Source organism: Homo sapiens, chromosome 8 (assembly GCF_000001405.40).
Source record: "Homo sapiens chromosome 8, GRCh38.p14 Primary Assembly".
NCBI lineage: Eukaryota > Metazoa > Chordata > Mammalia > Primates > Hominidae > Homo > Homo sapiens.
Window position 1 is genome coordinate 47,513,335 of NC_000008.11, and position 17,789 is coordinate 47,531,123.

Here is a 17,789-nt window from a genome sequence, read left to right on the forward strand (position 1 = left end):
TTGTGTTTTTCTTGTCTTCCAGCCACTAAAGTACCTCTGTTCAAAATCACTATACGGGTTTAGCTAATTACAATCTATACGTCTGTATTTTAAAATAAAATGTTATACTTTTTAAAAAAACAACTTGATGTCTTTCAGTAGATTTGGACTCATTTTGATATAACAGCAGTTACATTAACAACAGTTCTCCAGTTTAGGTGAAATCTGTTTGAATACTTCCTGTTATACATTGAAATGGAAAGTTGGCTTCCTCTTGTAGGTCATGTTGCTGGTGAGGAATTTCCAGAAATCTGGAGAAGTGCTGACTCATAGTATACAGTGGACTGATCCAGCAACAGTAGGACTTGAGGGGGTTTTTTGAGCTATTGGCTGAGGCAAGCAAAATATGTGGCTGTAATGTTTCATTTTATTTTTAGATATAAGGGTGAGGGAGGAGGAGAGACTATTGCTTGGCATGGGATCTATGTTAATAGCTTTAAAATGGCTACAAGTTCTAGGGTTAGAGGTGTGTCTAAATGTGTGTTTTCCTACAGTCTATTATTAGAATTTGGAAAACAGGTTGTTTTTGCTATAGTCACCCTACTGTTGTTCTCTCTGCCTCTTGCCCACAGGTGAACCATGTGCCTTCTTGGGCTGTGGTTGGTGACTCACCATGGGTTCTATAATGTGAAAGTCACATAGTACTTGCATTCAGGAGAGTGCTGCAGAAAAAGGTCCATGGCATTGCACCTTTTGTATCTGATCAAAAGTCCGTGAATCTAATAATAACAATTTAAGTATTAGCTGACAGGAGTACAGAGAAAAACTAGCATTTGTTGCCTTTAATATGCCTGCTTGTGTCCTGTATATTTTACATTCGTTAAATTGTCTGACTCTGAAGTTACTGATTGAGGTTTTTTTCATTCATTTGGTATAGAAATGACTGCTAGATTGGGTTTGGTACAGGGATTTCTAAAACAAAAACTCATCACCTAAACTCATCCCTGGTCTCATAAAGTTAATATATCCCAAATGCACTTGTCTATCAATTCTACAAACATGCACTCACTGCTCTGTGTTGGTGCTGATGACATGGAGAAAAGGAAAATGTGCTCCTTGTTACCTGTTTGAGGGGAGGGAGGCGCTGGGAGCCCACTGCAGGGGATGTGTCTACAGAAATATGTATAGTGTTACTTTTCAGTTACTATGGTAGAAATCTAAAGAAACAGTGAGGCATAAAAGAGGGGTATGCTCAAATCTGTGCTAAAGTCTGTGGAAGTGGTTTTTTGGATGTGATTCTGAGGCTGTCAGAGTTACTGATTGAAAGTAATTTGAATAGGCAATGTTAGGAGAGACATAAAAAATAGAAATCAGAATATGATGAGGGAGATAAGGGAAATATAAGTATTTAGGTGACTGATATTAAGATATCTGAAAAGGAAAAACAAATAAACAATATACTACAAGTTATATTTGTATGTGCTTTGAGGCCAACACCCAAAACAGCACACATGGTTTCACAAGCACCTCTGACTGCTTTCAAAGGCTGTAAAAGGCTATGCTTTTCAAAGACATTCATTCTACCCTTATGTTTCTGAGGTTTATATTTTTCATCATTTCTGAGGAATTTGAATGGCTATTTGTTAATCATAAGGATTCACAAAATCATAGAAATTATTTTAAACACGATTTCCTGTTTTCTTTAAAGTTCAGCAAAAGGAAGAGCATATGTCCTCCTTTTGAACAGAGGTCCCAGGGCAGGGTAGGGGATGGAAATGGGAGGCTGGGCCACACTGTGCTGTGGAGGCTTAACCTCCACATCTGACCCCCACTAGCCTTCAACTGATTCTAGTGTGCTTTCTGACAATAGCCCATTACTTAAATTTTCTATCTGCCAGTTTCTTCTGCTAAAAGATCTTCTGCTAAAGAAACCAGTGACCTATTTTGGTGCTTATGAGGAATTACTTACAGAATTAAGCTCATAGTTCAAAATATGAGGGATTGTTCTCTGCTTTTTTAAGTGTGTGTTCTCCAAACACTTAGCAAAGAAGAACCTTGTCAACATCTGCCTGATAATTCTGTCTTGAGAATCAACTGAATACTGTTATGTGGTTGTCCTGAGCTTTGATGTCCTCTGGTATAGAAAAGACTGAAAGTGATGAAGGTGGGGTATAATTAAGGCCTGCCACTGTCCCCAAGGATCCTTGGGAAGTGTCCCAATCCCCTTGGGAGGCTAATCTACAAATCTTAGGACCAGAATAGTGACATATATGGCTCTATAATAGCACTTACAGGACTTTATTGTATTTTGTCTCTCATTCCCAGTACTGTATGAAATTCTAGGTCTAAATTGTCTGACCTGTTTTTCTATGCAGATCTCATAAGCGTATAGATATTTAATCCATTTGTTGACTGAATAAATGAAATTGCTCTTCCTTGAGGCAGAAATACATTTCCTCTGTAAGCTTTTGTGTGTATACACATACAGTCCATGAAATGCCTTTTTTTCCTTTTTGAGACGGAGTCTCGCTCTGTCACCCAGGCTGGAGTGCAGTGGTGTGATCTTGGCTCACTGCAACCTCCACTCCCGGGTTCAAGCGATTCTCCTGCCTCAGCCTCCTGAGTAGCTGGGACTACAGGCGCTCACCACCACACCAGCCTAATTTTTTGTATTTTTAGTAGATACAGGGTTTCACCGTATTAGCCAGGATGGTCTCGATCTCCTGACCTCGTGATCCGCCCGCCTCGGCCTCCCGAAGTGCTGGGATTACAGGCGTGAGCCACTGCGCCCGGCCAGTGTCTGCTTTTTAAGACACAAAGTCTGCCTTCGTTGCCCAGGCTGGTCTTGAATGTCTGGGCTCAAGTAGTTAGTTCTTTGGCTCGGCCTCCCAAAGTGCTGGGATTGCAGGCATGAACCATCATACCCAGCCTCATGAAATGCTTTTAAAAAAAATTGTGGTAAAATATGCATAACATAAAAATTACCATTTTAACCATTTTTAGATGTATTTTCAGTGGTATTAACTACAATCATAATGTGGTGCAACCAACACCGCTCTTCATTTCCAGAACTTTTTCATCATCCCCGGCATGAACTCTGGTGCCTACTAAACACTAACTCCTTCTCCCCACAAGTCCCTAGCAACCTCTATTCTACTTTCTGCCTGTTTGAAGTTACCTATTCTAGGTAACTCTTAAGTGGAATCATACAATATTTGTTATTTTGTGTCTGGCTTATTTTACTTAGCATAATGTTTTCAAAGTTCATCCACGTTATGTGTCAGAATTTCCTTCCTTTTTTAAGGCTGAATAATATTCTATTGTATGTATATGCCACATTTTTTTTATCCATTCATCTGTTCATCCTGTGAAATATTAGGTTTGTTTTCACTTCTTGACTACTGTGTGAATAATGCTTCTGTGAACATAAGTATACAAGTATCTGCTTAGTTTCTGCTCTCAATTTTTTTTCGGCTATAGATCTAGGAGTGGAATTGCTGGATTTTATGGTTTGACTTCTTAAGGAACTACCATATTGTTTTCCACAGAGGTTGCATCATTTTATATTCCTACCAGCAATGCATGGGAGTTTCAGTTTCTCCACATTCTCACCAACACTTGTTATTTTCTTTTTTTGATAATTGCCATTCTAATGGGTGTGAAGTGGTATTTAATTGTGGTTTTGATTTGCATTTCCCTAATGACTTGTCGCCCAGGCTGGAGTACAGTGGCACGATCTCGGCTCACTGCAACCTCTGCCTCCCAGGTTCAAGCAATTCTCCTGCCTCAGCCTCCCAAGTAGCTGGGATTACAGGAACCTGCCACCACGCCCAGCTAATTTTTTGCATTTTTAATAGTGACAGATTTTCCCCAAGTTGGCCAGGCTAGTCTTGAACTTCTGACCTCAAGTGATCAACCCGTCTCGACCTCCCAAAGTTCTAGGATGACAGGTGTGAGCCACCGTGCCTGGCAGATACACCTTTAAATTCTGAAATACCCCCACTTAAAAAAATAATTATTACTATTACTTGCAAAATAAAAGTCTGCTACTAAGATACAGAGAGTTCCTCATCAATCCTTTATACTCTAATACCAACCCTCCCCATGCCCACAGACACTGGGTGCTTGATATGAGGTGCATATCCATGGCCACAGATGTCCCTGAGGCTGCTGATCCCTGAGGGCTCAGAAAAGAGTGGGCTTCTCCCTCATTAGCTAGTCTGTCTACACAATATTCTGTTGATATATTTGTGTCAAATTCATTAGGTATCCAAAATGATTATGTTCATCTATCCTGATTGTAGTTTTCTCAGAAAAAAACATACTTTTAACCTAAAGCTATCAATAGTATGTAGGCACTAAATAATTTGAAAAGAAATTTGTGAAATTATTCACAGTGAGAACATCTTGTAATCATGAAATCAATGAAAAATTTGCTAATTTTCGTGGTTTCATTATTCGTATTTAACTCTTTAATCCATCTGAAATTTATTTTGATGTATCATTTGAGGGTAGAGATTAATTTTAATTACTTTTCAAACAATTTTATCAGCACTACTTTCTGAATAATTTTCCCTCACTGATTTTAAATGCTTCTCCTATTGTATATTATATTCCTATACATCATAAGAGTTCTTGCCTCTGTATTCTATTTCATTGTGTTATAGCTTTTCTTTTTCATTCTAATCTCTTTCGTTAAGCTAATATACATTCTGTAGTTGGAGTTTTTACTTTAAATTCTAAGGTTGTTAATACTTTTAAAAAATATTTAAAGTAATTGTAGGCTATTCAGTGAGTATTCACAGATATTCTCCATGTGAAAGAGTGCATTGGTGGCAATTCATAGATACATTGGTCTGGCACAGCAGCCAGGCACTTTGTTAGTTCCACTTTCACCTCATGCTAGACATGCAGGCATCCTAAAAGTTCAGGTGTATTCTTGTGATGTGCTTATTATTATATTCAGGAACTTATTAATAGAAATTAAATTATAGAACCTGCTGCTCCATTTAATTGGCTACAACATTCTTGGAATGGTAAGTATTTTGCCTTGGGCTTCACCTAATTATCTCTGTTAGAAGTGTACAAATGTTTACAGCATTTCCTTTTTGAATATTTGGAACAAATATTTTTATTTGATTTATGATGCTTTTCTCTTTATTTGACCAAGAAATGTTATGGTGGTCCCATTATGTGTCTAGACGCTGTGCTGAAGGCATTGGGAAGCAGGAGCACACTCACACCAGAGCCTCACATCTAGTGACAGCCACTCGCTAGAACTGGGGTGATAGGGCATGTTGTTATATCACTGAAGTCTTCTGCTACTTTTTTTTTTTTTTTTGAGACGGAGTCTTGCTCTGTCGCCCAGGCTGGAATGCAGTGGCGCAATCTCGGCTCACTGCAAGCTCTGCCTCCCGAGTTCACGCCATTCTCCTGCCTCAGCCTCCCAAGTAGCTGGAACTACAGGCGCCTGCCACCACGCCTGGCTAGTTTTTGTATTTTTAGTAAAGACAGGGTTTCACTGTGTTAGCCAGGATGGTCTCGGTCTACTGACCTTGTGATCCGCCCGCCTTGGCCTCCCAAAGTGCTGGGATTACAGGCGTGATCCACCGTGCCTGGCCTCAAGTCTTATGCTACTTTTAAAGTCTTACGTTAGCAAAATGAAGAAATGTGAATAATTGGTGAAACCTTTGAAAGCCAAGCTCTAAGATTCCTGTAAAGAACTATAGGTTGGAAATAATTTAATAATGCCAAGTACATATGATCAAGAAAATGATAGAGTGGACAGTTCTCTGACCTGGCTATGTGTTTTGTTGTTGTTGTTGTTGTTGTTGTTGTTGTTGTTTTGGAGACAGAGTTTCGCTCTTGTTGCCCAGGCTGGAATGCAGTGGCGCGATCTCAGCTCACTGTAACCTCTGCCTCCTGGGTTCAAGCAATTCTCCTGCATCAGCCTCCTGAGTAGCTGGGATTACAGGCGCATGCCACCATGCCCAACTAATTTTTGTCTTTTTAGTAGAGGCGGGGTTTCATCATGTTAGCCAGGTTGGTCTCAAACTCCTGACCTCAGGTGACACACCTACCTCAGTCTCCCAAAATGCAGGGATTACAGAAGTGAGTCACTGTGCCTGGCCACCATGTGTTCTTTTAAGCCCCATAACAAAGTTTTTTAAAAGATGGCTTTGGTCAAGCGCAGTGGCTCACGCCTGTAATCCGAACACTTTTGGGAATCCAAAGTAAGGAGGGAAGATCACTTGAGACTGGGAGTTCAGAACTAGTCTGGGCAATATGGCGAGACCCTGTCTGTAGTAAAAAAAAATTTAAATTAGCCAGGCATGGTGGCACAGGCCTGCAGTCCCGACTACTTGGGAAGCTGAGGTGGCAGGATTGTTTTAGTCCAGGAGGTCAAGGCTGCACTGAGCTGTGATGGCACCACTGCACTCTAGCCTAAGTAACAGAGCAAGACCCTGCCTCAACAAACAAAAAAGATACTTTGATTATATGTTATAACAAGTTTCCAAAAAAAATAAAAAGATTAATTTATAAATACATATGCTTGATTGGAGACATGATCTTTAAAAATTTTTAAACAAGGTATATGATCAAAGACAACCGAATTAGTCAATGAGCATAGAGTGTGACAGATTTTAAAATTCTACCTCTCGTCATTATATTAAGCCCTTATACCAATTGGTATAGCACAAATTCATCCTGAATCCTGTGGGAGGAAAGGGGTTAGCTACCAATAATCTTATAGCCTGAACTTGACTATAGATAATATAGTTGTATTTGAATATGGAGTATCTGTTATTTGATTCCCACTTAGTTATCTTTAGTTTTCCTGAAAACTTATAAACAGGAATTTTAGGGACACGCCTCTTGTAACACAGAGAGGCAAATATTTTATAAGCTCTGTATACATTCCTGCATTGATCAGCTGGCTCATTAAATGATCCCCCAGCTTGTTAATGATCAGTTGAACGTGTGTAAGCCCCATAGATGAGAGGGACCTGTTCCATTCATCTTTTTTCTTCCTTTTGAAACTGGTATATGTTGAGTGTCTGATATGAATTGAACAAAAGTTGAATTGTTTAATTTTATGCTTGTATCAAGCAAGCTCCCAGAAGTCTGGCTAAAGAGTAGTTTGTTCATTTAAAAATCTAGCCTTGAGAATCTTTGTACCATGAATATTTTTCTCTCTCAGCCCCAGAGCCAATTCCCACCCCTTTCAGTCTAATCTTTGGCAGCACAAGACCGTGTGCTGGAAGTGGCATGAAAATTCTTAACTTATTCCTTTCAAAAAAGAAGCTAACTGTATTTAATGCTTTGTGTAGGCTATTTCTTTTCATCCTTAACACAAATGGAAGGGAGGTATTACTGTAAATTTGCAGATGGGGAAACTGAAGTCATCAAGGTTAAATAACTTGCTGAATTCCCACCACCAGTGGATCACAAAGCTGTGTGACACTGGACATGACTTCCCAAAAGAACCCCATCTTGCCATCCTATGATCTGTAGATGAAAGTAGGGTTTGCTGATGGCCCTGAGAAAATCTTAACAAACTGGATGAGGCTCAAAGACTTTTCCAGGGATATGGCTCCAGAACTGTGACCTTCCCTTTATGGGTCCAGCATGACATCGTCCTGCTGCTCCATATGGCATCAATGTAAGTATAGACATGGCCTTGCTCTGAAGAATAGTAAAAAGACTTCACTTCTTTAGAGGAAAATGCATGTGTACCATTTTGAGAATGAATGTTGGATCCAAGACGTCTGTCAATAGAGAGGCTCCGAAGAATGGGGTGATACGTCACAAAGATTGGATGGGATCCATGTATGCCTCTGAACCCTTCCTTGTTTCTAGGGAGCTGTTCCAAGGCAAAGTTGAGGTCAACCTCATTCAGTTTTACCAGAGATTTAATTGGACATGCTTTGGCTAATCAACTAGTAATAACTGTGTTTCACATTTCTTCCTTTCCTTACTGCTTTCTCCTTAAGAGCAAATAATTAATACCAGAAATTTCTGTCTTGGGTATTATGGGACGTGTGTGGCTATAAATGAAGAAATTACAGAACCTACATGGAAGATACCAGAAACAATACCCAGTCGTTTTGTTGTGATTTTTTTTTCTTTTTTTTTTTTTTGAGACCGAGTCTCACTCTGTCAGCACAATCTCGGCTCACTGTAACCTCCGCCTCCTGGGTCCCCATTCAAGCAATTCTCCTGCCTTAGCCTCCGGAGTAGCTGGGATTACAGGCACGCACCACCATGCCCAGCTAATTTTTGTGTTTTTAGTAGAGATGGGGTTTCACCATGTTGGCCAGGCTGGTCTTGAACTCCTGACCTCGTGATCCGCCCACCTCAGCCTCCCAAAGTGCTGGGATTACAGGCGTGAGCCACCGCGCCTGGCCACTCTTTATTTTTTTATTTTCCTCTACTCAAGACAGCTTAGAAGAGAGATCCATTTTGCATTTGGAATTCTTCCAGTTAGTTTTGAAATCTAATCAACAAGATTGGGGAGTGTTTTGTGTTAATGAAATATGTTCCTAGTTCTTAGAAATATATGAATGAGGCCAGGCACGATGGCTTATGCCTATAATCCCAGCACTTGGGGAGGCGGAGGCGGGTGGATCACTTGAGGTCAGGAGTTCGAGACCAGCCTGGCCAACATGGTGAAACCCCGTGTCTACTAAAAATACAAAAATTAGCCATGCATGGTGGCAGGTGCCTGTAATCCCAGCTACTGGGAAGGCTGAGGCAGGAGAATCGCTTGAACCTGAGAGACAGAGATTGCAGTGAGCCGAGATCGTGCCACTGTACTCCAGCCTGGCAGCTTGGGCGACAAGAGCGAGAGTCTGTCTCAAAAAAAAAAAAAAAAGAAAAGAAAAAAAGAAACATGAATGAGCAGGAGAAAAAGAACTGTGATACTGAAGGGGTCAGCCTCTCCTCCTGTGCGCCACTCTTCCCAATGGAGCATGTGCTTTGACTCTGGGGTTTCTGCAGCATCCACAATAAATATGTAACTGTATTTTGTATTTACCCACATGTGTTTTCCCTCCCATGGTGTCTTTCCCTAAATCTGTGAAGAAAATAACTGTTTTAAAATTCATTTATTTTCTCCATTTGGTTGTCAGCAGCAGGAAAGGCTGCTGAAGGATCCGAGCCAGTGTGGAAATGGGAAGGGCCTGTGAGCTCAGAGGGAAAGAGGAAGTCTCTATGTCCCGGTTACCAGCATGACCCCAGGTCAAATGACTCCCTCACCCTCTCCTCCTGCCAAGGTTGGTTAGGGTTCAAATGTGTTCCTACCCAAAATCACACAATGTCACTGTGTGGGATGCACAATATTCCATTGCTTTGCTCTGTTAAAAAAGACAGTTAAAAGTAAGAAGTATTTGTTGCAATTTTTAAAAACATGGTTTTTAAAGCTATCTTATTAGTTTTTAATGCTAAAAGCATTTTATTTACTGAAGATTCTTGGTTTTGGATAGGTTTTATTTTTTCATTAGGTGGTAGTACTCTGTTTCTGAGAAAGCTCTTTATTATGCATTATTTGTGAAATCTCTAGTAACCTGATGATGTTTCTGTCACATTGTTTTGAAAGGAATAGTTTAAAGATTTAAAGTGATCTTTTTTTGTTGTATGTGTGTGTGTGGTTTGCTTTCTTTCTTTCTATTTTTTATTTATTTATTTTATTTTATTTTATTTTTTGAGCGAGGGTCTCACCCTGTCCCCCAGGCTGGAGTACAGTGTCACAATCTCAGCTCACTGCAGCCTCGACCTCCCAGGCTCAGGCAATCCTCCCACCTCGAATTGTTGGGACTACAGGCATAGCGAGCCACCATGCATGGCTTTTCTTTTTTAATGCAAGTATTTCTTTTGGAATTTGAACTTTAATACTACTTTGGTGTGTTTTCACCTAAATTCCATTTTGTGAGCTTCTTAGTATTTGATTGAAAACCTATTTCGTTTTACTTGACCCTAACTAGATCAACAAGATAAGGATATTACCCAAAGGTCATTTCTAGTAGGATTGTGGCCACAAACGTCAATTCTGTAGCCAAGTATGGACTAATGTGGACTGAGAACTTGGCTTAGAGGAAAGACGCATTTCCACCTGTTCAGGGAGGTTTGAAGATTATCCATGTTTTGAGGGAAAAGGCCAGCTGAATGTGGAGAGTGCAAAGGTGTAACTGTCACTTGAGCTTTTCAGAAGTCCTTCGATGTAGCTGCCAACTTAAACCACCTCAAGTCCAGCCAGTACAGCAGCTCTGCTTTATCTTCAGTGTGAGTCTGTCTCCCTGCCGGCTGGTGATGGGGGTCAGGCTGGATCATGGATGCGACCACCCTGCACCCAGGCCTGCCTCTCTTTTCCCTGTTACATAGTGCTGGGCAGCCTCTGGGGGCCTCACAGATTTTTGTTTTTTAGTGGTAATAACAGCATGATCAGGCCGCAGCCTTCTCAATAAGAAGTGCTAACTTCCTCAGGAAAACAGAAGTGTGGTATGCACCATTACATAACCCAGTTTCTCTGGTGATACAATTTTACTTTTTGAGAGCTGTTTTGAAGTCTTCCCACAGAACTGCAGGCCTCTCTGTTTTCCCGTATGAGGTGAGGAGATGGCAGTTTTGTCCACACACCTATGAAAAAACACAATGACAGATTAAGTGTCCTGAAGTGTCGGAAGGATACCTGGTGTGGTAGCTTCTAAAATACCACCAAAAGTTATTTTAGAGATGAATTAATTAGAATTGACATCTGAGTTAGGTTACCAAATGAAATAAAGGGTGCCAGGTAAATGTAAACTTTAGATAAACTATCAGGCACATGTATGCTAAAAAAATTATTCATTGTTTATCTGAAATTTACATTTACCTGGGCATCCTGTATTTTATTAGGTAAATCAGGCGACTCTCCACCTGAAACTAGATTATGCAAACTAAGAATTAACATAAAAAGTACTGTCATTGTGTGGATGAGAAATCTCCTCCTCCTCTTCTCCTAAACCAGTTTAGGAAGCCTGTGCTTCGTCATTTCTCATATACTCTCCTCCCATGTACATCCAGATTAAAATGTGTGTATTTGGCATGTGGCTCACTGTTTCACATGCCTAACTGCAGCCCCTCTGGGATCCTATAGTCGCAGCACTATTTTGGTAGGTCAGCCATGGGCAGCAGGTCCTGTACTCTCCTGACCACCCCCGAGGAACTGCAGGCTCTCAGCATTTGCGTGTGTCCCTCCTCAGAGCCGTGGGACAACCCCAGCCAGCTAGAGGCAGAGAGACAGGCACGTAAACCTCCTGGCACGTCTTGCGGGTGCCTGGGCCAAAGTATGCGACTGTCCTGATTCTCTGAAGGTCTCAAAGCATTTTCATATTAAGTTATTCAAGTGACCCAGAGAACAAGAAAGGAGTTGCTACTGCATGATGTCAGAGAACACTCAGAGGTTGGAAGGGAATTGGGAGAACTAAGTAATTATTAATAAATTCTAAAAGTTTAATACTCAGTATTCAAAGGAGAAAGAGTGGAGCTAACACTTTGTACCAAGGGTGCTGGTCTTGGGAATTAAGATATCTCCTGCAAGAGATTTCTGATACAATTTAGTAAAATGTAGTTTTTAGGGGAGATCTTTTACAGAAGGAAGCTTTTATTTCCAAAGGACTTCATGAAAGGTGTAAAGGCCACACTATGAATTAGGGATGACACACCCTGTTTTGAATTGGATTTCCTGCTAGTTCTGATCCGAGGCATTCTTCCCGGACTAGGGTGAATTCAGTTCCAGTGTTTGCTTGAAAACTGAATCTGGTCATTGTATTTGCAGTTTGGCTTCCTGCCTGCTGTTAAAGTACAGAGCAAACTTCAGCTAGTTACTCCCTATGATTCTGTGTCCTCCTAAAGAGCAGGGAAAGAAGAGGGAAAAACCCAGGGGGTGACTGAGTTCATTTACATGTTGTGCCAAAGGGCAGCTGCTTGCTGCCTTGTCGTCACAAGATTCTGTGGAGAATCCTGATAGTCCATTTACCAGAATAGGAGCCTGGAAAACAAAAGGAAAAAAAGTATCTTTCTTTCTATGGTTCTAGCTTTGGCATTACTAACTGAATAACCTACTTTCTTTTTCTTTAACCAACATAGGTGAAAACTTAGAAAATTTTATGTTCTCCCTCTTTCCAAAGTTTTCTGTATGAAGAAAGAACTTATAAAAAGAGGTCACAGCTGGGCGCGGTGGCTCACGCCTGTAATCCCAGCATTTTGGGAGGCCAGGGTGGGCGGATCACCTGAGGTCAGGAGTTCGAGACCAGCCTGGCCAACATGGTGAAACCCCATCTCTACCAAAAATACAAAAATTAGCCAGACGTGGTGGCATACGCCTTTAGTCTCAACTACTCAGGCAGCTCAGGCAGGAGAATCGCTTGAGCCCAGAAGCCACTGCACTCCACCCTGGGTAGACAGAGTGAGACCCTGCCTCAAAAAAAAAAAAAAAAAAATCACAAGGCACGGTGGTAGCACTGCTGGCTAGTTGGACCTGGCTGTGCCTACTGAGTTGTCCTGAGAGAACACCAGGTTGTGTACATGCTGTCTGGATTTGTGGGAAGTGTGGGGGGCTTACCCCTTTTCCCTGCAGTTGTAGAAAATGTGATGCAATCTGCTCAGTGTAGTTCCAGCCACCCCTTAAGATACCTGGCAAAACTTAGCATAGTGTGGATCAGAAGGAATCCAGAAGCATATAGTGGCACCAGCCTATGTGTCCTTACGAATCTTGTATTCCCCTGAGTTAAACTTAGAGCCTCTGAATTTGCGGAAGGGACAGAAAGGAAAGATGTTCTGTTGTGGGGCTGTTCCCAGGCTCAGCTTCCTCACACTGAGGCAGTGCATCCAGTACTGAAATAAGGAACATTGCAATGATGCCTGGGGTCAGCAAGTGGCCTTGCTGACATCACAACATGTGCATTTCTCACTGTTCTTGGTTATTTAATTCTGGTCTGGTCCATTGGATTAGAGCCAGATTAAACATCAATAAATTTTGAGTTTACTATTAACAAAGAGCAGAGTCCTGCTACCTTACTGTTACTTTGCTAGGTGCTAAGAGAGAAATCAGAAAATTTAAGGCATGGATTTTGGTCACAGGGAGCAAAATCTAGTCTTCATTGGCTAAGAAGCCTTAAAAACCATGTAACTGTCACATAGTGGCAGACCACGAGCAAAAAGAAAAAAAATGAACCCTGCTTCTTCTTGGCTGTTTTATGGAGATGGTGCATTCAGCTGCCTGGTGTTTAGAGGAACCAAATGTACAGAAATGAAACCGTTCAGGAGATTCCCAGAGCTAACTGCAGGGTGCTGCAGGGATGTGGCAACTGAACATCCAGGAACTGTAACAAGACAGTGTTTAAATAGGTCAAAATGAAGCAGTCCAAAGCAGGAGTTCTGACTTCTGGTTTCTAGTCTGGCATATAAGGCAGGTGGAAGTTGTCATTCCTGTCTTCACAATAAGAAAAAGTTGAACAAACTAAAAATCAATGGTTTTTAGCTTCATCAGAGAATTGTCACAGAACAAACAGCTGCCCCCCAAATTGGAGCAAATGACAGGCAAATAAACAGAGAATCACAGCTTCCCAGAGCAAAAGACCTGAAGGGGACGTATCCAGCAGAACTCAGAAGCAGCCTAAGAAAACTTCAATTAATTCACACATTGCCAGAGGCTCGGTGTGGACAAGCTTGCAAGTTACACTCCAGGGGGTCCTGTCTTGGAGAGAGGGGGCACACTTTTGTTTTATGTTTTATGTTCTATGTCTAGGAACCCTGCTAGGTTCTCACTGTGAAGATCAGGGAACAACCCATTGTGCTTGTATCGGGGGAAGGGAAAGGTAGCCATTTAACAGTATACCGGAGCATTCAGCCCTCAAGAGAAACTGTTTTACCAGAGTCTGACCAATTGGAGTTTTATTGGAGCCCAGTTAACTTGGGGGGAAGGAAAAACGCCAACACCAACTCCAGATTTCCTCCAGCCTTCCTGTTTCTCTGGGGAGAAAAAAGCTTAGAAGCACCTGTCAAGATCTCAGCCCAGAGGCACAGGCTTACTAAAGACCTAGACCTCATCATAGGACTATAGAACACCTCCCATACCCTGACACCATACCACCACATCAGCAAGGCTCCTGTGTAGTAACAGAGGAATAAAATGGAAAGAACTGAGCATCTCAGACCTTATTTAAGAAGGCTGTAGAGAAACTCAAAGATAACAGGGGAGACAAAAACATGGACACCAGAGAAAATTTTAGCTTCGGAAAACACTCTAGCAAACAATAAAGACGGCCCATCATTAAAGTCGCCAGGTCAACCAGATGTAGCCTCTGTAGGTGTTGGCCTTGGCGACCAGCTTGGGATCAGTATGGTTCGCCAGATGGCCCCCACTGGCACCAGTCTTGGTTGGGTTCACCAGATGTTGCCTGTGGGCTACTGTTTTATTTTATTTTTCTATTTCCATCTTTGGACAGAGAGCTACTATTCTTTTAATGGACGTGAAATGGTGAAGGCACACAAGCATATTGCTGTCATTGTTTTCTTGCTTTCCTAAATTACTTTTACCAGTGGTATATCTTTTTTTAAAAGCTATCTACTTGGAGATGGTGTGTCTTGATTGACATCTCATGGAGAAGTGGATGGGGAAAATACTGGTTCTGTGGAAAGACTCTCTCCGTTAGTGGCTTGCTCATCCAGCTCTGATCTTTCTGTTCCAGGACTCTCCCTGTTTCAACAACAGCAACAACATGATAATAACAAACCTCACATATGTTGTTCCACTGGATAATTGTAATTTTTTAAAATAAATCGTTGTAAAACCAAGGACAGTTTCATCACTTTTTTCTATATAGCTGTTCACATGGGGCCAATCTGTCTTTGCAAAAAAGAAGTGAGAAAGGAATCCTTGATACTTTCCCCTAGAAGTCCAGCATCTGCTTGTTTAAATACATATCTCATGTAAAATGGGAAAGATAAAAAATATTGAAAAGTGAAGTTTTAAAACCTTATACTAAAGATCTTTATACTGCAGTCTGTCTCACACAATATATCATTGTCTGGCTTTCAACAACAAAAAATTACTAGGCGTTCTAAAAGACAAATAAGTCACAGTTTGAAGAAACAGAGCAAGCATTAGAACCAGACTCTGGTTTTGCAGAGGTGTTAGAATTAATCAGACTAGGATTTTTTTTAATTCCTAAGATTAATATGTTAGGGGCTCTAAAGGGAAGATTGGACAACAGGCAAGAACAGGTGGGTGAAGGAGAGAAATGGAAACCTTAGGAAAGATCAAAAGGAAATCCTAGAAACCGAAGGCACCATAACAGAAGTGAAGAATGCCTTCGATGGGCTCATCAGTAGACTGGACATGGCCACTGAAAGAATTAGTGAGCTTGAAGAAATGTCAACCAAGACTCCCAAAACTAAAATACAAAAAGAAAAAAGAGTGAAAAAAAAAAGGGAACATAATATTCAAGAACTCTGGGACATTTGCAAAGGGTATGGCATATGTGTAATGGGAATACCAGAGGAGAGGAAAGACAGGAAGTCAAAAAAAGAATTTTTCCAAATTAATGATAGGTTCCAAACCACAGATGCAGGAAGCTTAAACACCAACAGGATAAATAAAACAAAATCTACGCTTAAGCATATCATACTTAACCTGCAGAAAATTACAGACAAAGAAAAAACACCAGAGGGGAAGCTGGCAGAAACATACCACCTATAGCGGAAGAAGAATAAGAATTACATCAGACTTCCCTTCAGAAATCTTGCAAACAAAAAGATGTAGCACAATATTTAAAGTATTAAAGGAGGCCGGGCCCGGTGGCTCGGGCCTGTAATCCTAACACTTTGGGAGGCTGAGGCAGGAGGACCATGAGGTCAGGAGATCGAGACCATCCTGGTGATGGTGATACCCCATCTCTACTAAAAATACAAAAAATTAACCGGGCATGGTGACACGCACCTGTAATCCCAGCTACTTGGGAGGCTGAAGCAGGAGAATCGTTTGAGCCCAGGAGGTGGAGGTTGCAGTGAGCCGAGATCACATCACTGCACGCCTGGGCAACAGAGCGAGACTCCATCTCAAAAAATAAATAAATAAAATAAAAAATAAAAATAAAGTATTGAAGTAAAAAATTCACCAAGTTAGAATCCTATATCTAGCAAAAATATCCTTCAATGGTGACAAAAAAATAAAACACTAGCCCAGACAAAAACTGAGACAATTTGTCACTACTAAGGCTACCTTGCAAGAAATGTTAAAAGAAATTATTCAAAAGGAAGGAAAATAATATAGATCAGAAATTGAGATATACATAAAGAAAGGAGGATTATAAGTGAAGGAAAAAATGTAGGTAAAATAAAACCTCAATTGATCTAACACATAAGTTTCTTTAAAATAATAGCTAAAATGTATTCAGTGGTCATAGTTCATGTATAAATGAAATGAATGACAGCAATATTATAAGAGATACAAGGAGGAATTAGAAATATTTTGTTATTGTAAAGTACTTGTGCCACCCATGGAGTTGCATAGTGTTATTTAAAAGTGGACTTGAATTACTTTTAAATGCACATCAAACTCAAGAGGAACCACATAAAAAAGTAAAAAAGGAAGTACAATCATATATCACTTAATGATGGGGATATGTTCTGAGAAATGCATTATTAGGTGATTTCATCATTATGCAGACATCATAAGGGCACTTATACAAGCCTAGGTGATATAGCCTACTACACATCTAGGCTGTATGGTATAGCCTACTGCTCCTAGGCTACACACTTGTATAGCATGTAACTATACTGAACACCATGGAACATTGTAACAAAATGATAAATATTTGTGTGTCTAAACATATCTAAATGCAGTGGCTCATGTCTGTAATCCCAGCACTTTGGGAGGCTGAAGTAGGCAGATAACTTGAGGCCAGGAGTTCCAGACCAGCCTGGCCAAAATGGTGAAACCCCAGCTGGGTGTGGTGACACTCGCCTGTAATCCCAGCTACTCGGGAGGCTGAGGCACAAGAATCACTTGAACCTGGGAGGTGGAGGTTGCAGTGAGCTGAGATCGGGCCTGTGCACTCCAGCCTGGGTGACACTGCGAGACTCTGTGTCAAATACAAAACAAAACACCTTTAGAACCATGGTGTCAGAAAAAAAAAATATCTAAACATAGAAAACGTACAGTAAAACTATGGTATAAAGGTTAAAAATGGTGCCCCTCTATAGGGCACTTACCTGTCTGTAATGGAGCTTGCAGGACTGGAAGTTGTTCTGGGGTCAGGGGCCATCAGTGAGTGAGTGGTGAGTGAATGTGAAGGTATAGAACATTACTATGCACTACTGTAGACTTTATATAAACACTGAACACCTAGGCTACACTAAATTTATAAAAAAGCATTTCTTTCTTTAATAATAAATTAACCTTAGTTTACTGTAACTTTTTTACTTCATAAACAATTTTTCTTAATTTTTTATCCTTTTGTAGTAACACTTGGCTTATAACACATTGTACAGTTGTACAAAATTATTTCAAAAATATTTTTTATATCCCTATTCTAAAATTTTTTTCTATTAAAATTTTTTATAACTTTTTTTTTTTAAAGGCAAGGTTGTGCATCCCCCAGACTGGAGTGCAGTGGCGCAGTCATGGCTTACTGCAGCCTCAAACTCCTGGGCACAAGCGACCCTCCCACTTAAGCATTCCAAGTAGTTAGGACTCCAGGCATGCCACCATGCCCAGCTATTTTTTAAAAATGTTTCTCGCTATGTTGCGCAGGTTGGTCCCAAACTCC

At 40.8% G+C, this 17,789-nt stretch overlaps 1 protein-coding gene across 56 annotated transcripts in view, besides 2 other annotated features; it reads left to right on the forward strand.

Annotated features, from left to right (window-relative positions):
- The window catches only part of SPIDR (scaffold protein involved in DNA repair), a 475,429-nt gene that overhangs the window by 252,457 nt on the left and 205,183 nt on the right, over positions 1-17,789 (forward strand). The gene's annotated exons all lie outside the window — the stretch shown is intronic.
- Positions 210-289: an enhancer, noted in NCBI's record as "active region_27327". NCBI's record gives its function as "activates an Ori minimal core promoter by ATAC-STARR-seq in GM12878 lymphoblastoid cells {active_cell/tissue: GM12878}" and the evidence as "EXISTENCE:reporter gene assay evidence [ECO:0000049][PMID:35858748]".
- Positions 10,753-11,726: an enhancer, noted in NCBI's record as "H3K27ac-H3K4me1 hESC enhancer chr8:48436649-48437622 (GRCh37/hg19 assembly coordinates)". NCBI's record gives its function as "activates a minimal SCP1, AML or CMV promoter by ChIP-STARR-seq in primed H9 embryonic stem cells {active_cell/tissue: H9 hESC(primed)}" and the evidence as "EXISTENCE:reporter gene assay evidence [ECO:0000049][PMID:30033119]".